The sequence below is a fragment of the Homo sapiens genome, chromosome 11 (genome assembly GCF_000001405.40).
Source record: "Homo sapiens chromosome 11, GRCh38.p14 Primary Assembly".
NCBI lineage: Eukaryota > Metazoa > Chordata > Mammalia > Primates > Hominidae > Homo > Homo sapiens.
In genome coordinates, this window is record NC_000011.10 from 28,101,544 (window position 1) to 28,124,738 (window position 23,195).

At 35.5% G+C, this 23,195-nt stretch overlaps 2 protein-coding genes across 11 annotated transcripts in view, besides 7 other annotated features; one reads left to right on the forward strand and one right to left on the reverse strand.

The window, feature by feature from the left end:
• The window catches only part of KIF18A (kinesin family member 18A), an 87,538-nt gene extending 80,925 nt beyond the window's left edge, over nucleotides 1-6,613 (reverse strand). The window contains exon 1 of one of the 2 annotated variants that reach the window (NM_031217.4): nucleotides 6,521-6,613. The gene's annotated coding sequence lies outside the window, so the exon portion shown is untranslated. Of the gene's footprint in view, nucleotides 1-5,945 lie in introns of both variants that reach the window. The other variant, XM_017018379.2, reaches the window with a different exon arrangement.
• Nucleotides 5,826-6,350: an enhancer, noted in NCBI's record as "H3K27ac hESC enhancer chr11:28128916-28129440 (GRCh37/hg19 assembly coordinates)". NCBI's record gives its function as "activates a minimal SCP1, AML or CMV promoter by ChIP-STARR-seq in naive H9 embryonic stem cells {active_cell/tissue: H9 hESC(naive)}" and the evidence as "EXISTENCE:reporter gene assay evidence [ECO:0000049][PMID:30033119]".
• Nucleotides 5,891-6,150: an enhancer, noted in NCBI's record as "active region_4548". NCBI's record gives its function as "activates an Ori minimal core promoter by ATAC-STARR-seq in GM12878 lymphoblastoid cells {active_cell/tissue: GM12878}" and the evidence as "EXISTENCE:reporter gene assay evidence [ECO:0000049][PMID:35858748]".
• Nucleotides 6,351-6,874: an enhancer, noted in NCBI's record as "H3K27ac hESC enhancer chr11:28129441-28129964 (GRCh37/hg19 assembly coordinates)". NCBI's record gives its function as "activates a minimal SCP1, AML or CMV promoter by ChIP-STARR-seq in naive H9 embryonic stem cells {active_cell/tissue: H9 hESC(naive)}" and the evidence as "EXISTENCE:reporter gene assay evidence [ECO:0000049][PMID:30033119]".
• METTL15 (methyltransferase 15, mitochondrial 12S rRNA N4-cytidine) overlaps nucleotides 6,845-23,195 on the forward strand; it is a 424,088-nt gene continuing 407,737 nt past the window's right edge. For 7 of the 9 annotated variants that reach the window (XR_007062458.1, XR_930849.3, NM_152636.3 and 4 more), the window contains exons 1-3: nucleotides 6,845-6,909; nucleotides 8,623-8,858; nucleotides 11,775-12,061. Coding sequence is in view for 5 of the 9 variants with exons in the window: in NM_152636.3 (NP_689849.2) it covers nucleotides 11,792-12,061 (270 nt within the window). In the remaining 4 variants the exon portion in view is untranslated. Of the gene's footprint in view, nucleotides 6,910-8,622; nucleotides 8,859-11,774; nucleotides 12,062-20,598; nucleotides 22,380-23,195 lie in introns of those variants that run through there. The other 2 variants (XM_047426516.1, XM_047426515.1) reach the window with 2 other exon arrangements.
• Nucleotides 7,061-7,140: an enhancer, noted in NCBI's record as "active region_4549". NCBI's record gives its function as "activates an Ori minimal core promoter by ATAC-STARR-seq in GM12878 lymphoblastoid cells {active_cell/tissue: GM12878}" and the evidence as "EXISTENCE:reporter gene assay evidence [ECO:0000049][PMID:35858748]".
• Nucleotides 8,386-8,886: an enhancer, noted in NCBI's record as "H3K27ac hESC enhancer chr11:28131476-28131976 (GRCh37/hg19 assembly coordinates)". NCBI's record gives its function as "activates a minimal SCP1, AML or CMV promoter by ChIP-STARR-seq in naive H9 embryonic stem cells {active_cell/tissue: H9 hESC(naive)}" and the evidence as "EXISTENCE:reporter gene assay evidence [ECO:0000049][PMID:30033119]".
• Nucleotides 8,386-8,978: a biological region, named in NCBI's record as "H3K27ac hESC enhancer GRCh37_chr11:28131476-28131976".
• Nucleotides 8,749-8,978: an enhancer, noted in NCBI's record as "active region_4550". NCBI's record gives its function as "activates an Ori minimal core promoter by ATAC-STARR-seq in GM12878 lymphoblastoid cells {active_cell/tissue: GM12878}" and the evidence as "EXISTENCE:reporter gene assay evidence [ECO:0000049][PMID:35858748]".

The following is a 23,195-nucleotide window of genomic DNA, read 5'->3' on the forward strand; positions in this document are numbered from 1 at the left end:
ACCTCCTTGTGGCTCAGCTTCCCCATCTGTAAAGTAAGACTAACAACAGTACCTATCTCATAAAGTTGTAAAGATTACACACTTAGAACAATACTTTGTACAGAGTATGAACTACAAGTGTTTGCTATTATTATTTACAGTGTAGTGAGGGAAACAGATATTAATAAAATATTGACACAAACATGTAAAGGTATAACTGTGACAAGTGCCATTATAGGGAAAAGGTTAACAGTGCTTTATAAGACTATAATGAGGGGATTATTTAAGTAACATTCCAGGGAGAAATTTGGACAATTACCTAAAGGAATGAGGACTAAACTCTGATTTTTTATTTTGCCCAAATTCCTATCTAAGGGGTCTGGGGAGTCACGCCCTATAAATCATGGATTTTCATTAGATGCGTTTTATTTGACCCCGTATATTGTGACTTGCTTTTCAATTGACTCTGGCATAACATTATGAGACAAAGAAAAAATATTTAACACCCAAAATAGATTTACTTGCCAAGCCTTGAAATTGCCCTGCAAAGTTTCTTGTTGGAAAAGTCCACGTTCTATAGAGAATCCCCTTCCCTCTTTGTTTTCCTCTTTTCTTTGCAGATCCAGTAGATAATCAACTAAAAGCCAGGCACCCTTTTAGCTCTGCGGAGAAACATTTTACAACCTGCTCTCTCTCTCTGAAATTTGCTGAGAGCTTCCTCTGCAAAATAAAACTTGGTCTCCACAATTATTTTTAACCTGAACATTCCTTTCTATCAATCCCAGGTCTTTAGACAAACTCAACCAATTGTCAACCAGAAAATGTTTAAATTTACCTATAGCTTGGAAGCCCCCGCTTTGAGTTGTCCCGCCTTTCTGAACCAAACCAACGTATTTCTTAAATGTATTTGATTGATGTCTCATGCCTCTCTAAAATATAAAAAACCACGCTGTACACTGACCACTTTGGGCACATGCTCTCAGGACCTCCTGAGGGCTGAGTCATGGGCCATGGTCACTCATATTTGGCTCAGAATAAATCTCTTCAAATATTTTACAGAGTTTGACTCTTTCAGTCAATAGAATTTAAGTATAATGTCAAATATAACTTTGTTTCACAACTAGTTGCATATTTTAACAAAGACATGGATGTTAATTTTTAAAGTATCATGTATTTCCCTATCTTTTAAAAACAAATATGTGGATAGAATTTTCTTAATAAAAATGCCTAAGGTCAACAGAATCATCAAATGTAAAAATTAATCTATGTTCAAATATACTTACATCTGCAGGAATTAATGAGATCGTTCCTACATTATTATGTGGTGCCTTCTTTGTTTTCTAGGATGGCTGACTAAAAGAAATGAGCATTTAGTTGATTCTGAATAAGGCACAGAGAGAGTAAATTCTTCAACCATGTTTAATATGAAGCAGCAAAAGAAAAGCCTAAATATCGTTATCTGCGCAAGAATGTGTGGATTCACAAATTCTTTTCAGACAGCTGTTCAGAAGATAGTATTATAGCCTCTGATCAATTTTGTCCTATCTACCCCTAAGTGGTATTTACTGAACAGAATCAAAAGAGCAAACTGGTAGGATTTCATTGGTGGAACTAAAACATGAAAGACAAATACTTCCAACGTGATTATTCATTATAATCAGGTTGAGCATTCCAAATTTGAAAATCTAAAATCTAAAACTTTGTGAGCACCAACATGACACTCAAAGGAAATGCTCATTAGAGTATTTTGGATTTTCAGATTAGAGATCCTCAACCAGTAAGCACAATGCAAAAATTAAAAAAAAAAAAAAATTCCAAAATTCAAAAAAACTTCTGGTACCAAGCATTTTATATAATAGATACTAAACCTGAAGAAGAATATTTGTCTAGTCTAGAGAGAGTAGGGTATCAAAAAAGAAGAATGAAGGGGCTAAGGAAAGGGGCTTTACTTGCTAATGTATAAAACAAAAGGGTTAGATTATATGATACGGAAAGTCTTTTTCTAGCTCCAAAATTTTATGATTATTATGCATGATTAGAAAAGGGTACAAGAGAATAAGAAATGACAGTTAATAGACTTTTACTTTATATCCCTATTCTCTCATAGAGAGTCTAGTATATAGTAAATTTTCAAATATACCAATGAATGAATTAATAAACTATAAAAAATGCTCACAGACCCCAAAAAGCAATTTACTCACTTAGAGTAGAAGGAAAAAGAAAATGTATATCTCCAAGAGAAACAACATATTAGAGTACAATAGTTGACAACAACAGGCAATCACAATGAGAACCCTGAGGCATCAAAAAGAAAAAAATAAGAAAGAAATAATGTTCCCAATTTCTTGTTTAGAAAATTAAAGAAATGGCAAGATCATGTTTTATTTTCATCATTAAGTGTGGTTAAAATACTTTATTACTTAGCAAAGCTAATATTCAATTTTCTGGAAGATTCATTTATGTAGAACAGCTCATGCCTCTGCAATGTTTAATGAGGTATTAAAATCTATTTATCCTGAATACTTGCATGGTAATAAGCCAAGTTGAACAGGTCAATTTTTAACTTATAACATATGTAGCTAGTGCTCATCCCAGATTAAAGATTCACCCCTAATTATATGCAAGTACAATAAATTTTATTTAATTCATTGATTGTATGCACTGATACTTTCTTCAAAAGCATTCAGATCATGATATGTATTGCATGTCATTTACCTGCTCCAAACTATCCAATGACTTCTCATCATAAGAATAAAATACAAACTCCTTACCATGGCCTATAAATTCCACATATGGCCCTGCCTACCTCTCTGACAATGACTTCTACTGCTGTCTCCCCATTTCATTATTCTGCTTCAGCTGCAATGACTTTCTTAGCATTCCTAAAACACTTCAGTCTTGTTTTGGCCTCCTGGCTTTTTTATTTTTGCTTACTGGCAGGCATTACCTCCAGATATTTGCAAATTGTAATCCCTCACTTCATTATTCAGGTCTCTTCAAATGCCACTTTACAGAGGCTTTCCCTAAAGAATCTATCTAAGATAGTGTCACCCTGCCTTTGCTTCTCCAATCCCTTACTAGGTTTATTTTTCTTTCTTGAGTTTAGCACTAATTGGAAAGTATATGTTATCTGGTTACATATTTATTGCTTGTTTTCCCTCTAGAATGTAAGCACTGTGAGAGCACGGAGTTCATCTGCACACCAGCACCTAGGACACTGCTTGTCAAATATTTAGGACCCAATAAATACTTGTTGAATAAATGAATGAATAAACCAGTACAGTTTTAATAGACTTATAGCATGTTACCATTTGTATTTTTAAAAGATATATATGTATATGCATGGTCATTCCCAGAAGGGTACACAAGAAATTGATAATACCACTTTCCCTATAGAAGGGAAATATGAAGGTCTGAGTGAGAGACAGGTTTATTTTCCATTTCATATTCTTTTGTAATATTTAAATTTTAAACAAGGTCTAGGTATTTTTATTTCAAAACAGACAAACAACAACAACAAAACCACTATTAAAATTTACCTTAATCGCAACATTTAATTTAGTAACAATAAGTTATATTTTCTATTGAGCTCATATCCCACAAATAGAAATGTACTAACAATTGACATACTCTTACTAAATCGTCATAACAACCTATGACATAAACCCTGTACTGTCATTCCTATTTTATTAAGGCAGAAAGTGTAATACAGAGAAATTAACTGGCTAAAGTCACACAACTGAGGAAGCACATGCCATGGGATTTGAACTCAGACTGACTGAATCTAAAGGCCAAATACTTAATCACTACTCTCCCTGATGTAAATATATAACCCTCAGAAATTTTCTTATAGAAGTTAAAAATATATATATTGCTTACTTTTTTAGAAATTTTAAAACATTTAATTGGCAAAGATTGTATAAAACGAAGATGTACAATGTGATGGTCTCATATTCTTATACACAATGGAATGATTACCACAATTAAATTAATACGTCTATCACCATTGATGCTGTACATTAAATGCCATGAACTTATTTATCTTATAACTTAAAGTGTACCCTTTGACCAAAATCTCCCTATTTCCCCCAAAACTCAGCTTCTGGTACCACTCTCTTATATTTCCTTACTTTTGATAGAAACCTCAGGGCCTGGCACAGGAGCTCTTGAATGTGAAAATAAAACTGATTATGATTTCTCTGTACTTGTCAGATATCACAGAGTGGCCATTCTCAATAAGTATGCTTTAACAATGCTTAGATTAGGTTGATATGGTGATAATTATTAATAATGAACAACAATGCTTTTCATTTGAGTATGTACACTCTGTCTCATGCATTATAGTAAACACTTGACATTCGTCATTGCATTCAATCCTTATAATAATCACGTAAGGTAGGTTGTAGTAGTATTTCCATTTTACAAAAACAAAGACTTAGCCTTAGGATAAGTAACTTTTCCAAGATGACGTAACAAGTGGGCAACCAAATGTCAAATATAAGTCAATTCAGTCAAAGATTCACCCCTAATTTTATGAAAGTACTATAATAAATTTAATTCATTGATTGTATTCACTGATACGTTCATCAAAAGCATTCAGATCATGTGATGCATCACATGGCATTCACCTGCTCTAAAGTCTCCAATGACTTCTCACCAGAAGAATAAAACACAAACTCCTTAACGGGTACAAATCTAAAGTCCATGTTATTAACAGCTAGGTTCTACTGGAATCAGAAGAGAATGCTTCCAAACAATGATACAGAAGTAGAGTGACAGTTATGATATATTAAATACAAACTCAAACCTGAATTAGATTCAGATTCAACAAACACTGTATAGGACTGAAAACGATACTCAACACTATCATCTACAGTCCATCTTAAAGCTCTTTTTGGAATATCAGTCTTGGGGGCACTACTCCCACCAACTTACAACCATCAGGGAAGAATAAAAGGTTCAACTGGAGGGAAGGCCGGCACTGACAGCTGAGCTATTTTTTTTCCTCTTAGTTTTCACAGTTGTCAGCAAAAAAAAAAAAAAAAAAAAAATCATTTTTATCGTGTCTCTTAATTGATTTGGGGTATTTCTATGATGGGACAAGATGCACTTTCAATATAAAAATATTATGTATTTGTAAATACTTTTCAATAGTAGAAGAGGAAGGGCTGGGTGCCCTGCCTCACACCTGTAATTCCTGCACTTTAGGAGGCCGAGGCGGGCAGATGGCTTGAGGTCAGGAGTTCGAGACCAGCCTGGCCAACACAGTGAATCCCCGTCTCTACCAAAGATACAAAAATTAGCCGAGTGTGGTGGCAAACGCCTGTAATCCCAGCTACTCGGGAGGCTGAGGCACGAGAATTGCTTGAACCTGGGAGGTGGAGGTTGCAGTGAGCAGCGATCACGTCACTGCACTCCAGCTTGGACCACAGAGCGAGACTCTGTCTCAAATAAATGAATAAATAATAGAAAAGGAGATTAATTACTACTATTAAAGGCAGATAATCTTTTAAGTTTTTTTCTTTGTGATTGTGCTTTGTAGATAATCTTTGTTTATTGAAATAGTTCTTACAAACTATGAACTTAATAAGAAGCACTATCTAGTCATTGGATATCACATTCTCTAGCATCAAAGTTTATAAAAACCTTACAAAAACGAAACAGGAGGCTAGACGTGGTGGAATGACACTAAAAATTAAAATCTGTAGAGTGCCTAAATTTCTACCTAATTATCCATAATCTAAACTATATATTATACCACAAAATCAGTTCATTCTGGTCAAATACTCTCTTCTCATATAATAAACAGCAGTCAGTCTTGGCTTCTCTGTAACTGAGTGACTAATGAGCTCCTAAAAAAAAAAAAAAGTCCTGCGGAAACCAAGAACAGACTATAGGACTGATTCTAAATGTTTACAGTTTAATTTCATCTGCAGAGCATTTGCCAAACAGTATCTCTTCCGTACCTCATCTGATCCTCGGCAATCCCGTTAGGCAGTCAGAGCGGCTTTTATCTCGATGCTACCTACAACTGGGGCTCAGGAGGGGTTCCCGATTGACCAGTGCAAGACTAACAGTTAAAGCTCTTCAGACAAAAATTTTATGCAGTGATGAACAAAAGCTCCTCGTTTGATAGGTAAGCCCCTGGGTACGCTTATATGTGAGTCTGAAACAAAACACTCCCAATTTGGAGTCCGGAAAAAAGCTGACACTACAAGGTGCTGGGCAGTTAAAGTTCTCTGCCAGTCTGGGAAAGGGGCCAAGATGCCCTTTAAAACTTAAGACTTCCTCTCAGGACTTAAGGAGATCCCTGCCCTTCCAGCTGAGCAGTCGAGGATTACGGTCAAGCAGAGCTGTGCTCTTAGCAGGTTCTCGAATCCCTTTTTCCTTTCACTTTCTCCCCAGGTACCCTGATCCCCCACCCCTCAACGCTTCTGTGTTTGTCAAGAAGCCCACCTGGTCTTCTAGACCTGAAGCGGCAGGACCCTCCGTTCCCAATAATACAAGTCACCAAAAGGAGCGTCCCAGAGTCCAGTTTTACCTTCATGTGCCTCTCACTCACTTCAGGCCCAGGCCAGGTTACCGCAACCACTTCACTTTAATGTCCGCCTCCCAGCGCTTCAGACTCAACCACAATATTCAAACCCAAGCCACTTTCCTCAGCGCTTCGTTTCATTGGCTGCCGCTCGCGTGATGTCATCACGTCGGACGCTGTCACGGCTCGCGGCAGCTTGGCGCCAAGAAGCTCAGCCTGGCTGCGCAGGGGAAGCTCTTTGCTTGCTCGTCACCGTGGCAACGCGCGCGGCCGTTTCCGGAGGCGGTGGCCAAAGTGGGCGGGGCTAGGCCGGAGCTGCTGGTGGGAGGCAGCCACTTGAGATCACCAGGCCTCCTGTAGACCGGCGGGTGCAGGGCCCGGTCCCAGAGTTAAGGGTGTGAGTGAGACTGCTGCGGGCAGGGGTTGGCCTATGCCCTCTGCTAGGGGGAGAGGTGGAGTTTGGGTGTGGATTAATGGGTTCTGGGTGTTTATTTTCTTTTCTCTGAGTAGTGAGGCCTCCAAGAAGTTGTAGGGACCTGTTTCTTCCAGACACATTAATATGGGCCAAAATGTGGGGTCTCTTCACCTGAATTAATTGGAGATCTTTTGGGTTGAGGCCTCAGGCTTCATTTCTCAGGACTTCCAGGCCTACTCCCATTAGTACTGACCGTGAAACTATTTTCTGTTTGGTTACTTTTTACATTCTCTGTCTAATGATGGCATAACAAAATAAATTTAAAGATTTTGGCTTGGTTTATTATTAGGTGAAGTGATTTTTTTTAAGTCCCAGGTTATAGATATTATTTCAGCATAGACACTTTAAAAAGAGAGAAAATACCTGGAACAAATCGGAAATACGTTTGCTAAAATAACTTTATTTGGCAGGGTGTTTTTAATAACAGTATCTGAATTTCATTGTTCTATATATTACTGTTATTGTATCCATTTAGCAATTATTTAGATTTTAGACACAATAGTATGCAATGGAATCAAACTCTTCCCTCTTGGAGCTTATATTTTGTGGATTCAATATCACTTTATAAATAGGATGACTCATACCCATGCAGAGTATTATAAATGCAACAATATATGGAAACCTCTGTATTATGGACATTTATTTCCTGTTGAGGAAAATCGGGAGTATTGTGTACTGTATGTGATGCATGTTATATTATTGTTTCTGATCACTAGACAGAGGATCAATAAAGCTACTACTTATTTTTGGCTGTATTACGTGTATCTTAGCTAATGAAATGGTTATTTGTGTGCTGCTGGTCTTGGTAATAAAATCGAGATGTCTTTATTTCCAGTAAGAACTCATTGTATAGTACTTTACGTTTTGACTTCCCAGGTATTTTATTAGTCCCTTTACATATGGTCTCTCAGTTAATTCTCAAAACAGCCCATGAGACGTAGGTAATATTATTTTCATTTTTCTGAGAGAAAACTGAAGTTTTCAGAAAATTCCTAACACAAAATTTTGTCTTGAACTATACAGGCAAGGCAATTCAGAATTGAGTCATTTGTCTCTGAAATACTTTCTGGATTAAGTGACATTAAGAGAATATCTTAATCCAGTCTGAAAATATGCATATTTTGCCAGTTGCTTGTAAAATTGCATGGATCATTGGTGAAGAATAGAAGTGTTTTAAAGTTTGTCTTTTTTGACACCCACATTGTATAAGGTTTATCAGTGCCACAGATGTTTTCACACCTAATCCAAGTACTTTAGATTTCAAATTCAGTGTTACACTTGCCATTTAACAGTGTTCAGATGATGAGGTCCATATTTTAAAGGAATTGTACATTTGGTTAAAGCAGAGAGATTTTGACATTACAATCAATCCCACTACTGTGCCACCTTGCTCCTTGTAGTTTCTAAACATAGAGCTAATGAGACAGAAATTCCCACTTTTAGTTAAAAATTGGAGTATAACTGCTGTGTTATCAGAATACAAGTTTAATATACTTTCATTGTAAACCAAAGAGCAGAGATAAGGATAAATGAAAAGTTAGATTTAAAGTTGTTTCAGACCAAAAAATAAAAATGGAAAAAGTAAAAGTGAATTTAAACATGGCAATAGTGAGGTCTTATTTATTTCCCCCAGGAAAGTCGTTTGGAAACCCCAGGCCAACAGGACCCTTTGGCAGCTGAGGCTGGAAACAGCGGAACCAAAGGCAGACGGTCCTCAGTTGCTTGGGCGGACGTGGACCCAATCTGTCCGTCCTTACAAGTTTCCCCCAGGGGCAGGACCTAGACGCGCGGCGCATTCAGGTTCTCCTGGACCGTAGTGGTAGTCGCTGGCCCGAGTTAGAGGCCAGCTGAGAAGTCTTCGTGCTTCAGGTGAGGAGAAGGGGACCGAGTCCCGGGAACTCGTTTTGGAAACCACCAAACCTTTGGGGGTACTCCACAGGGGTCGCTGGATTCGTCCGGAGCAAAAGAAAAATACGCCCCTGACCCTCTCCCTCTCTTCAACACGCCTTCAACCTGGGTTTGGAAGTTTCCGAATAGTTTTTCCTCGTCAGAGCGTAATTCTTAGGCAAAAGGGTGTATTTTTCTCTTTCCTTAGAACCTCTTTCACTTTCTCAGCGTTCGTGTGCCAGCCGCCACGTCGCGTTTTTGTCCTTAAAAATTACATTTTCAAACAGGATTTCCCTGCCAGACAAAATTGACTGCAATGATTATAATTGTTAGAGCCCTTGAGGGAGTATCCTTCATGGGCATCACTCACCTGTGTGTTTTCACAATTAAAAGAGTAATCTGGCAATTTTATGCTCTCAACAGCCAAAAGTGAACTTTGCTTGTAGAGAAAAGTTAAATGACTTAACTAGGAGATCACAGAGGCAGTTTTCCTGACTCCCTGCTTCCTTATGACCAGAGGGAACTTAATCTTAAATCATTTAGGGTAGCTGGCCACTAGCAGACTGCAGGAGAGCTCCAAGTTGTCTGGTAGGAAACTGGGCTCCAAAAGAGAAGAATATAATTTTCTTTAGAGCATGCCACACCCCCAGCTTCCATTTTTTTAGGGAGGTATTGCAGGAAACAAGAGGCAAATGAACTATTTGTCACCCTTTCTCCAGGTTGACTCAAGTTGGCAGGCAATTAGTTCATAATAAAATATTCAGGCTTTGTGCCTTGACCATAGTTGAATAAACACATAGAGACTGAATGCAATAGAAAAAAATTAAATGCAAGTGATAGCGTTTTTTGTTTGTTTTTCCCCCGCTACTCTGCGTTTTCCTGTATAGTTCTTATTCCTATGTTAGAATTGATGATACTACTTTTCTTTTTAGTTATCAAAATCTGGACATATAGGGTAGGTTGTTCCAGAGTTCACTTTTTAGGCGTATACATTGTACGTTCATTACTGGGAACCCCGCAGCATACTGTTATTTTTAAGTGGAACAGAGCCAAGCCATTGGATGTCGGTTCCTTAATAAAATGAATCTATGAGATATTACAGATATATAGTCAATTTAATTGAAGTACTATTAAATTACATAAGTGGATTAAATAGTTCCAGTGGGCAATGTTTATAGCATGGAGATTGAGTTCAGGCTCTGGGGGTAGACTGTGTTACAATTTTAGCTTTACGGCTCTCTAGCTATGTGGCCTTTGGCAAATTACTTCTCTGTTTTCCCTGTCTATAAAATGGGAATAATATTTCAAGAGTCGTGGTAAGGATTGAATGAGGTAGCGCATGTAGTGTGGTTATAATAGTAAGTGGTGCTTAGTAAGTGCTAAATAAATGTTAGCTATTATTTTGTAAACTGTTAGAAACACTAAGTCAGAGGGTAGTTGAGCTTACTTTTGTACGCTTTCCAGAAACCTTAGGCATAATTAATAATTTGGCTATTTCATTGCTGCCAAGCAACCAAAAATCTACTTAGATCACTCATTCCCCCCCCCACCGACATTTTTTCAATGTCACATTTGCCACACAATTCTGCAGATTATAGCTTTGGTGAAGTTAACATATTATCCTCAAGGTAACATCTTGTTGATGTTACATCATATTTGTATTTCTTTGTGTTTTATTACGTGTGATCAGCTTTTCAACGTTTTTAATTTTTTTTATTGCAAAAGGAAAGACAGACATATTTAAGTGGGATTTATGCTTCTTGTAGTATTTTGAGAACATATGGTTTTTGGTGGGGTCAGTCATGCAGGGGAAATTTCCCAAAGTGAGGATTGATAACAATGCTAATTCTGTGGAGTCTGGAATTAATCCATTCATTCATTTTCTTCAGAAAACATTTATTAAGCACTGATGTGCATCTTATTTTGTGTATACGAAGGTGTGGGTCATATTCTTAAATAACTAATAACCTGTAAGGAAAGAATAGTGTTAACTGGGTAGTATCAAGCGGTGTTTACTGTGGTAGTATCAAAAACTTTGCTTGAAACCAGCTGGGTATAAAATGCATGGTGTTTTCAAAAGGTCTCCTGTTAATATATGTACATAAATCCTTTTTTTCTTCTGCATTTTAAAGAGTTATGGATTGCTGAAGAAAATGGAGCACCTATGGTAAATCCAAGGAATATATCAATTATTTGTTTTTTGGGTGCCGGGGACAGATAATTAAAGGTAGACATGAAATACCGAAGTGTGCTCAGTTGAGTGTTTATACAGTCATAGTTTAAACTGATATACACTCCACTGATACAGGGTACAGGGAGATGATCTCGTCAGAGAATCGGACTGATAGACTGATTATCTTTTTTATTTTTTGGATGTGCATGCGTAGTCTTTTCCCAGGGATAGTCTCTGAAGATGAGAATTTAGCATTGTGAGAAAAACAAATACAAGAGCTTGAAATAGAAGACCATCTGAATCTAAAATGTAATACTTTTAATCCGTTCAGTCATCCTGATTACTTTTCAAATAAACAGTTTTAATTCATTGAATCTACTTTTTAGCCTTAATTAAAATTCAAAAAAGTATGTTTCATAAAAATGTTGACCTAATAATCAATTTTCATATCCCTAATGGTTAAAATGTTAATGATATTAGAATGTATTAGGCTACATTAAAAATTGTATTTAAATTATGTTTAAATTACGTCTCTGGGTCCTCTTAGGTTCCTTGCTTTGTATATATAAGAAGGGTTTGTCACCTTTACTTGTTTAAGATGTTAGGATCATGAGTCTTAACTTTTTTTTGATGTGCTAAATATTGCATATTAATTTGATTTTCCCCAAGTATTAGAACATTCTTTTAAAAAAATCCAACAATCATATTTTAATTTTTTTTTCTAGATTTGTTTACCTACAAAATGCTTCGGTATCCATATTTTTGTAGAATGTATAAAGAATGCCTTTCATGTTGGTTGGAATCTGGCATACCTAATTTAGGTGTCTGGCCAAACAGAATACATACTACAGCAGAAAAATATAGAGAATATGAAGCCCGGGAGCAAACAGATCAAACTCAAGCCCAGGAGTTACACAGATCTCAAGATAGAGATTTTGAAACTATGGCTAAATTACATATTCCAGTAATGGTGGATGAAGTTGTTCATTGTTTGTCACCACAAAAAGGACAGGTGAGTTGAATTTTTATTTTTTAGCAAGTTTTTGTTGAGATAAAATTCACTTATTGTAATATTCATTATTTTAAGGTATACAATTCAGTGGCCTTTAGTATACAGATGAATCCCAACTTTTGATGGTTGATGCGAAAGTGATACACATTCAGTAGAAATTGTACTTTTCAGTGCCATACAACCATGCTTTTTTTAACTTTCAGGACAATATTCATATAAGTTACATGAGATAGTCAATAACTTGATTATAAAATAGGCTCTGTGTTAGCTGATTTTGCCTAACTGTAGGGTAACGTAAGTGTTCTGAGCATGTTTAAGGTAGGTTAGACTAAGCTATGATGTTCGGTAGGTTAAGTACTTAAATGCATTTTTGACACATGGTGTTTTCAACTAATGAAGGGTTTGTCAGGACATAACCCCCTTGTAAGTTGAGGAGAATTTGTATTGATAAGCTTATGACCACTGTTTAATTGAGGAATGTGTTTGTCATCCCAGTATGAAACCCCATTCCCATTAGTATTCACTCGCCATTGACATCCTTCCCCCAGCCCCTGACAACCACTAAGCTATTTTTTTTGTCTCTATGAATTTGCTTATTCCAGACATTTCATTTAAATGGATTCATAGATATGTGGCATTTTTTATCTGCCTTCTTTTACTCAGCATGTTTTCAGGGTTCTTCCATGGTGTTGCATGTATCTGTACTTGGTTCTTTTTTATTGCTGAATCATTGCATTGTATGGATATGCCACATTTTGTTTATCCGTTAACCAAATGATGAGCATTTATATTGTTTCTGCTTTGTGGCTATTGTGAATAATGCTACTACGAACATTCGTGTACAAGTTTTCTTTTCTTTTTTTTGAAACAGAGTCTTGCTCTGTCACCTAAGCTGGAGTGCAGTGGTGTGATCTCGGCTCACTGCAACCCCCGCCTCCTGGGTTCAAGCGATTCTCTTGCCTGAGCCTCCCAAGTAGCTGAGACTATAGGTGAACACTACCGTGGCCGGCTAATTTTTGTATTTTTAGTAGAGATGGGGTTTCACCATGTTGGCCAGGCTGGTCATGAACTCCTGACCTCAGGTGATCCTCCTGCCTTGGCCTCCGAAAGTGTTGGGATTACAGGCTTGAGCCACCATGCCCGGCCTTGTACAAGTTTTGGTATGTACATATGTTTTCAGTTCTCTTGGGTATATATATCTAGGAGTGGAATTCCTCTAGGCTTAACTTTTTGAGGCTGTGACAAACTGTTTCTCAGAGTTGATTGGTTTTGTCAAATTACAGTCTTAAAAGAAAAAGAACATTACACTGGCTGAGTGGTTAGGGTATGAAAACTGAATCCAGTAGAGCTTCTTGAGAATTTTATTTCATAATCCTTTCAGGAATGGCTGGAGACAAAGATATGAATCTGAATTCCTTTTCCTGTTTTCTAAGCCTTGGTTTTCAACTACCCTGAAGTATTAGAGTTCCCCAGAGAATCAAAACCAACAGACAGTTGACCCTTGAACAATGTGGGAATTTGGGGTGTTGACCCCTACAGAGTTGAAAATCCATGTATAACTTTTGATTCTCCAAAAAATTACTAATAACCTACTATTGACCAGAAACCTTGCTGAAAACATAAACACATATTTCTTTTTTTCTTTTTCTTTCTCGTTTTCTTTTTTTTTTTGAGATGGAGTTTTGCTCTTGTTGCCCAGGCTGGAGTGCAATGGCATGATCTTGGCCCACCGCAACCTCTGCTTCCCGGGTTCAATTGATTCTCCTGCCTCAGCCTCCCGAGTAGCTGGGATTACAGGCATGTACCACCACGCCCGGCTAATTTCGTATTTTTAGTAGAGATGGGGTTTCTCCATGTTGGTCAGGCTGGTCTCGAACTCCTGACCTCAGGTGATCCACCCACCTTGGCCTCCCAAAGTGCTGGGATTACAGGTGTGAGCCAACACACCCTTCCATAAACACATATTTCATATGTTATGTGTATTATATACTGTATTCTTACAATAAAGTAAGCTAGAGCAAAAATATTAAGAGAATCATAAGGAAGATAAAATATATTTACTATTTATTAAGTGGAAGTAGGTCATCATAAAAGTCTTCATCCTTGTCTTCTTGTTAAGTAGACTGAGGAAGAGGAGGAGGGGTTGATCTTGCTGTTGCAAGGGTGGCAGAGGCTGAAGAAAATCCACAAATAAGTGGACTTTCGCAGTTCAAACCTGTGTTGTTCAAGGATAAATCGTGTGTGTGTGTGTATACCCATACACATATATATGTGTGTATATATATACACATACATATATGCATGTATACACAGACACACACACATACACATACACACACACACACACACACACACACACACAACCCTACCGATTTTGGATTTACCAGTGCACCACAATCTCCTAAGCCAATTCCTTAACATAAGTCTCTCTCTTTATAGAAAGAGAGGATTAAAGGATTACATAAGATCTTTCATTATGACCTTATATCATAATCTAGATATTTAATTTAGATTAAATTAAATAAGGTCTTAGATTATTATTTAAAGTCATAATCTAAGACCTTCTTTAATCCTGCCATGAATACTGTAAGGTAGGTATGATCTCTTTAAAGCAATGTAAAAAATGTTGGTTGATATAATATTGAAAACGAAAAAGCTAGAAACTTTCTGATATGTATATTCATTCACAAGAGAAAAAAGTATTGTAGATTGTCTTCAATTTTTAAAGATAATTTAATGCTTATATTTCTTAGTGTACTGACTTCAGAAATGTGATCCCTTATTCTAGAAGCTACTGTTTTTATCTAAATCAGTTATTTTTATATCTTTCTTCTTTTTCCAACATACTGCTTAGTGGTTAAGAGCAAAGATTCTGGAACTGGACTGCCTAGGTTCTAAGCTCTTGTCTAGGAAACATGTGCATGTGTGCACACACCCAGCTTTTCTTTTTTCTGAAACTTTTTCATGTTGGATCAGGCAGTTTTCATGAACTAAATTTAAGCTATATGTATAAGGTGTACTACAATGGCTAGATGTTGCTCATACAAAAGCCATCAGTGATACGATGTGGGTTCTTCATAAAAATATTATTTACCTTCTCCTCAGGCAGTATACACAGGCAAGTTTACACACAAAATAAATCCAGCATTCTTTAAAAAATTTTTTTTTAAATTTTAATTGTTCTAGAGAGAGTCTGTCTCTGTTGTTGAGGCTGAAGTATGGTGATGTGATCATAACTCACTGTAGTCTGGAACTCCTGGGCTCAGGTGATCCTTCCTGTCTCAGCTTCCTGAGTAGCTGGTCCTATGGGTGTGAGCTGCTGCACCCAGATAAACCCAGTATTCTTAAATGAATTTACGTGTATAAAGTATTTAGCTCAATGCTGTCATGTAGTGGGACTCCAAATATACATGAAAATGTAAATTAAAATATTAAATTGGATAAAACTTCTTGTTGAATGTGAGTGACTTCATCAAAATGAAATTCTCTTCGTGCTTTAAAAAGATCCATAATGCAGGGGTAACAATTAAAATCCATACATAAGTGTGAGTTTTAAAAAATGTATATTGAAATATATGTGATATTTGTTAGTGTGTGTATATATACATACATATATACACCTATATATGTATGTGTGTGTGTGTGTGTGTGTGTGTATATATATATATATATATATATATATATATATATATATATGAAAGGATAGGGGCAGTTAGTAAAAATTGGAACCAAATTCAGTGGCTTGAACTTGACTTCTGAAACTAAAAACCGAAGCACATTGTATTAGTTTATTAAACCCTAGTAACAAAGCCAAATGCTTATGTTGCACTAAGCCATGGAGTAGAAAAACAAACAAAAACAAATTGCACTACATCTTCTAGCAAATCAGTATTGTATCCAACTATTTTCTAAAACCAAGTGGAATAAAATTAGATAATTCTACAACTTGACCTACACTGCTGTTTCATTCTGTTCAAGTACCTACAAATGTAATGTTGGTTTATTTTGGCATTTTCCTTTTTCTGATTTGAGTTGGGTTTTCCAGTAACTTTTTATAAGAAGTTTAATGTTTCCAATGTTACTTCTAAAAACTTTCTTGTGAGGTACACTTAGAGACAATGTTATTTCTTACCTTTTCTGCTGTCTGGCAGACAGCTTTATTCACTATTCCCTTAATCTTCAAGTAATAAAGAACTGGTGACAGTCCTTGGACAGGAAAGGTCTTCATTTTGTCCATAATCCATTATTTGCTTCTCTTCTTCCTGAGCCTTTTCCCCAAAATCATTTTCCTTTTCAAACTATGAGTCATACACTCACTTGCATCAGTCACTTACTTACTTACTATTACCTTTTTCTGCATCACCTTCAATGATGAATTTACAGATGAAACTTTTTTTTGTTTTTTTGTTTTTTTTTGAGACGGAGTTTCGCTCTGTCGTCCAGGCTGGAGTACAGTGGCACAATCTCAGCTTACTGCAAGCTCCACCTCGCAGGTTCACTCCATTCTCCAGATGAAACTTTTGATGTAACAGGAACTTTAAAAAATATCTGAATGTATTTGAAGTGAGGTGCAAGGCATTTTATAGTTCTTTTTTCTTTAATACTTGAAAGGTGCTCACCTAAAGAAAATAGTGATTTTGGGAATTTCTTTAGCATCATAGCTAGTTTACTACCTATGTAGTTTACTACAGATTTGTTTTTCAAATACACTTAAAATATTTACTAGTTTTAATTATGAGAAAAATATCCTCTTTCTCTTGGAAGGTATTTAAAATTTTAATTGTTAAGGAGAAATTAAAGAAATTATAATTATTTCTCCCTGCTTAGTTTGCATCATTTCATATTCTAGGTGAATAACTTTTTGTGAAAATGTATTATCCTAAGAACTTTTTTTTTTCTCCTGGAGATATTTTAGTCTGGGCTAATAGATTAACTTTTTATTCTTGATTTCTGAAAACTGGAGAAAAAAAAGTTTGGTTATTTTCTAAATAGCTAAATTCTGCTTAGTTTAAGATGGTAGCAGTTTGGAGAGTATAGGAAACCTGATACTCTTGCCCCAGTAGTAGTGCTAATTTAGCTTGGTGCCTTGGGGCTTCTTTGAGTGTTATTATAAGGGTACAAGTACCCCACTAGTACAAGTAGCTGTGCAGTTTGGTCAATTAACTTTCCATGGTTGTGCCTCAGATTCCTTATCTGTAAAATAAGGAAAGAGAACCTATCTCACTCCTGGTTACTGTAAGGATTAGATGAGTTAATATACATAAATTGTTTAGAATTGTATCTTCCAAGTAGTTGAGCCCAATAAACATTAGCTGTTACTATGGGAATAGAAAGAGTCAAAGTTGTTAGCTAGATTAAAAAAGAAATTCAGGAGAAAAATGCAAGGGGAGAGCAAAGGTGGAACCAACCTGTCTGGAACTGAAAAAGTACTGTTTCCTCTTTCTGGAACTCTCCTCATCTTCATCCTTCAGGCCTGGAGTCAGGTTTTACCTTTTTATGGGAACTTTTCATGAGCCTCCACAGAAGACAGGTATCCCAATTATATATCATGTACTTTTCTTCATAGCAACTTAATAAGTCATAATTATAATTATGATGAGATTATTTGTTCAATATACACCTCTCTTAGTAGATTGCCCTCCATGAAGCCATGGACATATTTGTCTTGCTTACCATTATATCTCTAGTGCTTAGCACAAGGCCTGCCACATGGTAGTTTTGTAATGATGTTTTAAGTGAATGAATAAAAGTCAAAGTAAACTAGAAGACAGATGTGAGGCACCAATAAGAGGAATGTCCCTTGGGTACTGAGGTAGCTTCTCTGGCTCAAGACTTTTATATAATTTCAGCGTCAGTATGGCAGGCCAGGTCTGATCAAGTAACTGATCTGAAAAAACAGATACAAAGGCTGAGAAAATAAGCTGGCACCTAAACGGAAGCAAAATAGATTATGATGACAAATAGTTTAAATTTGCTAGGTTCGGTTATAAATATTTCAAAGTAAGTTTTTACCTATTTTAAGTTATAATGTTTAGTATTACTTTTTATAATTATTAGATTTTCTATAGTTATGGTACTAGCTTTGATAATTTTCTTTATTAAATGCATTATGCTCTGTACAATGGAATTTTCTTAAGATCAGTAGCAGTATTTTACTTGTTTTATTTAAAAATCTTTGCAATCTTTAATGGAGAGTAGACATCAAAGAGAAAAATACTAAAACTGTATGTTTGCTCTCTTTAAATATTGGAGGCTGATGACGGGAGTTTATTTTGTTTGACTCCAAATTGTTAAAGAGAAACTTTTCTAAGGAATAGGACCAATGGCATAGCACCTAGAGGGAGATATCTTTTTAAATTTTTTTTGAGACGGAGTCTCACTCTGTCGCCCAGGCTGGAGTGCAGTGGGGCGATCTTGGCTCACTGCAAGCTCTGCCTCTTGAGTTCACACCATTCTCCTGCCTCAGCCTCCTGAGTAGCTGGAACTACAGGCGCCTGCCACCACATCCAGCTAATTTTTTTGTATTTTTAGTAGAGACAGGGTTTCACCGTGTTAGCCAGGATGGTCTCCATCTCCTGACCTCGTGATCTGCCCGCCTCAGCCTCCCAAAGTGCTGGGATTACAGGTGTAAGCCACTGTGCCCAGCCTTTTTTTTTTTTTTTCTTCTTAAGAAAAAACTTAAAATTTCATATGAGATGGACTGTTGATGTTGTGTTTTCCCTCTGTTATTTTTTAAAATACAGGTTTCTTTGAAGCAAATTTTATTTTACATTGCATTCTTCCTTTGTTTGGAGAATGTTCTAAAAAATGTAGCACATTAAGTGGCCTTTGTATTAAAATATCTTCTGAAATGTGACACTGCCAGTGCTGTTCTGGTAAAGGTTTAACACCTGGCTCTCTGGGGGTAAGGGGTGGTATGTGAATTAAAAAAAAACAAAAAAAAATCCTGATTTTAGTATTTGCAAATTTCCATGGGGTACGTTCCTGATGTCATGGAATGTAGATTTAGTCTCTGCCTATTTCTTCAACTTCTGTTTCCCTCTTCTTGAATTTTGTATCAATCACGATGCAGTTTTCCATACACTTTGTAGTATTTGATGCTTCTGTGCCCTTATACTTGCCCTTTTCCCTGTGACTTGTTGGTCTGAGAACATCTTGTTCATATTTCAGTATCTGGGTTTGTCAACTTATCCTTCTTAAAGTTTCTCTGCAAAGTTATTCACTCTTTCTTCTCTTGACTGCTTCAGAACCTTGTCCTTTTTTTCTCCTTTTTTCTTTTTTTAAATTTTAATGAGTACATAGCAGGTGTATGTATTTATAGGGCACATGAGCTGTCTCAACACAGGCATTCAATGTGTGACAGTCACGTCAGGGTAAATGGGTCATCTGTCATCTCAAGCATTTATCATTTCTTTGTGCTCTGAACATTCCAATTATATTATTTTAGTTATTTTAAAATGTACAATAAATTATTGTTGACTGTTACCCTGTTGTGCTTTTAAATAATCTTATTCATTCTACCTAACTATATTGAACCTTGTCCTTTTTAAAATTATGGAGTGTATTACATTGTATTATAATTATTTCTTCATTGTTATTGATTGGAAACTTATTAAGAATAAAGACAATGTCTTTTTCTTCTTTGCTTCCCCAGCACCAGTATAGTGCTTGACTCTTAGTGGGAGGGCAATAAATATTTATTTTAACTGTAGTTGAACTGATGATTTATTAGTGTTATCAGTTGATTTAACTTAATTGGCTTTTTAATTTATGCACTGGGACCTGAGGAGAGTGCTGTCTTTGGGCCCTGTGCTATACAAAAATTTGTTGCTTCATTTGTGTAATAGATTTAGAAAGAAGAAATTTTGACACTTCTAATAAACCTTAAAAGGGTTTCAAAATATTCTTAACCTGAACTTTCCAACATAGCTATTAATGGTTTATAACAGAACTTGAGAATGACAACATGTTATTAATATTATAGTACACATTTTAGAAGCGAATTATCTTTTTGAAGAAAACAATTTATTTTTCATATTTATGGTTTTTAGAAATAGACAATTGTTTTATGATGATATCTTAAGCAAAATGAATATTGTTGCTTTATTTTACTGTTGAAGGTTCTATATTGAAGATTTTTTCTATGAAAACTTTTAAAGCATATCTTTGATATGTGTTTAAAAGTCTCATTAGTATTGGATTTTATGATAAGCTTTATGTTTATTATATGCAATATTTTAAGAGTGGCATGTTTATCTGTTATTTGGGATAAATGTAGCATTTATAGGTAACTCGCACTGCCTGGCAATGTGATGAATATTTTGCATGCTGTTGTTAAGGTATTTAAAATCTTTAGGGAGTCAAAGTAAATGCAGAACTACTAGACAACAATTAAATGTTGAATTCTTATATTTGATCATTTAATAAATTGTATATGATATTTTTAGTTAATAAAAGTTATAGTTTATTAAAACTGTAATGTGTATTAACTCCATCTTACTCACTCAAAGTATCAAGTTTAGAAATTCCTCTTACAGAGTCTTGGTGTGAGGAGTGTGGGAATATGAATCCTACAGGTAAATTTAACATTTTTTTAAAATGAGAATGTTTATGGATTATATTTTTTATAAAATGCTTTGTTCATATCATGTTATAAAATGTGAAAAACTGATGCAGAAATTAGTTTTCTTGGTTATCTCTTCAAATCCTAGTATATAGATGTGTGTATATGTGTGTGTGTGTGTGTGTGTGTGTGTGTGTGTGTGTGTATATATATATATATATAGTCTTTTAGGTAAATGAGGTAGTTATGCCTAAAGTGTTACTTAATCTCTTTAACAGTTTTTTAGAGTTTTAGAAGTAAACATTATTTATAACTAAAATGAAAATAACATATTTTTTCATGCTTATTTTTTCCATAATGACGGGTTAACATTTAAAATATTGTTTTTATATATATATGTATATAGGTGTGTATATATACATTTATGTATACATATAAGTAACTATATAATTAGGTTTTCATATTCAAATCTAATAATTACAGTGTATATTGAATGTATAACTTTTTTTTAAAATTTGGCATTCATGAAAATATGCTTGTTTTTCTACCACTGAATTAATGCATTTTCATCATATATAATTCTCTTTATTTGAATTGTGAAGCAAATTATTACTAGGACATCAAATAATTAAGACCAACAACTTATTCAATTATTTTTCCTATCCAGTGGCTTTAAATTATCTTTTTTCTAGTTGTTCTTTCTCATGGTCCCAAACTAATTCTTTGCTACTAAAATATAAGAATTAAGATAAAAAAATCAAGCTTCCAAGGTAATTAGAAATTAGTTTTTAAAATTAACCAAAAAATTATGGTTTCATAGTTGATAAAAATGTTACACTCTCATGTTTAAAAATCAGACGTATGTACTGAATCCAAATTTTAAATTTGCTTAAGAGCCATTCTTCTGGTTCAGGAAATAGACATGACCCAGGCAGAAAACAGGTTCATTGTATATGAGAAGCTCATAGAAAGAAAAGGGAGAAACGAGTGAGGTTTTTCTGTTCCTAAAGCACATACACACGAGTCATCCTCAGTACTTGTTACTCTCTAGGTCAGCATTAGTCCCTGATCAATAGTCTAATCATAGTTACTGCAAGAGTCTAGGCTTAGTGGCTCTGTCTTTTCCCATTGTTCCCCTAAGTTGCATGTTGTTTTATGAAGAGTGGTAGGAAGTGTACCTTGACCTTGTGATTCTCATAACATTTTATTTTACTCTTCTTCCACTGCCTTCTCCTCATGTAACAAACTACTGAGCTGAGGTGTAAGTAGCATACGTAAAATGTTATTTTACAATAAACCAAGTTGCAAGGCCTTATGGTGACTCATCTTATAATGTTCTGTAAACTCTCTTTTTTCCTTTGTGGTCAGTTGCTAGTAGTTGTCCCCTTTGGGTGAAACAAATACCAGGAGGTAATATGCATTTAAATGTTTTATTTTTCTTGGTGAATATTGCTTTAGAAAGTATGTGCATTTTTTATAGCTACTTATTTTCTCTCTGTTGGTCTGTATAAACTATTTCCTTTGTTCTTCAATGTTTGAGATGTCATTTTATCAAATTACATGCTAATTTAGGCATATATTTTTTATCTTTGTCCTATTTGGCCTGTGTCATCTGTAATAGGTTTCTATATAATTAAATTTCAAGATAAAACTGAAATCTTTCTTTTGTTACATGTATTTTTCTTTCTGGCAAGCAAAAGAAGTAAACTGTGGATATTTAATATATTCATAAAGATGGAGAATTTCCCACTTGAGGCGAGTATACACTGGGAAGAAGATTATTAATAATAACAACATAGAGTTGTATAAGATTTTACTGTTTATGAAGCACTTTTATATATTATTGACTGTGCTTTTCATTAATACTAATTTCAGTAGTGTTTTGTGCAAAGTATCATGTCAGATATGGAAAGAAGGACAGGAAATGTCTCTAATGCATATGTTTTACTGGAACCATATAGTAATAAATGACATTTTTTGGACTTGAATGCTTCTAGCTAATAATCAGGTTATACAGTATGCTTTTTCCCCTCAAACCTAAGTGTTCTTATGTTCTAGAGGACACCCTAGAAGATCTTCAGAGCTTGTTATCAGGCCCCTTAATCCCTTAGGACAGCTATTTGGCCTAACGTTACTAGAGAATAGATCACTAGCCCCCTGAGCACTTGTGACTATGCCCAAGCTCAGTCATTTGGAGCACGTTATGCTGTTCTTGTCTTCATAACCCTCTGCAGAGGAGTGCAGACACATCTAATTGGCTAGCTCACTGAATTTTTCAGAGCTTGATCTCAGATTGATCTCTCACTCGTGCAAGGAAACCTTATATTTATAATGACAGTATCAGAAGATAAATTGCTCAAAGAAAGATATGGGATAAGCCAACTAGAGCCATTAAGTGACTGAGGCTTAGAAATGAGGGTGGAGAGAAACTGTGGTGTTGAGGGAAATAAAAAACTGTAAGAGGATGACTTGAAGAAATGGAGTGTTAATACTAAAAAGGAAAGCAAAAACTCCATGAATTTCTGTCCTTTCTGTACGTTTTCCCTGCTTTCTCTAGCACCGAGGTACCAT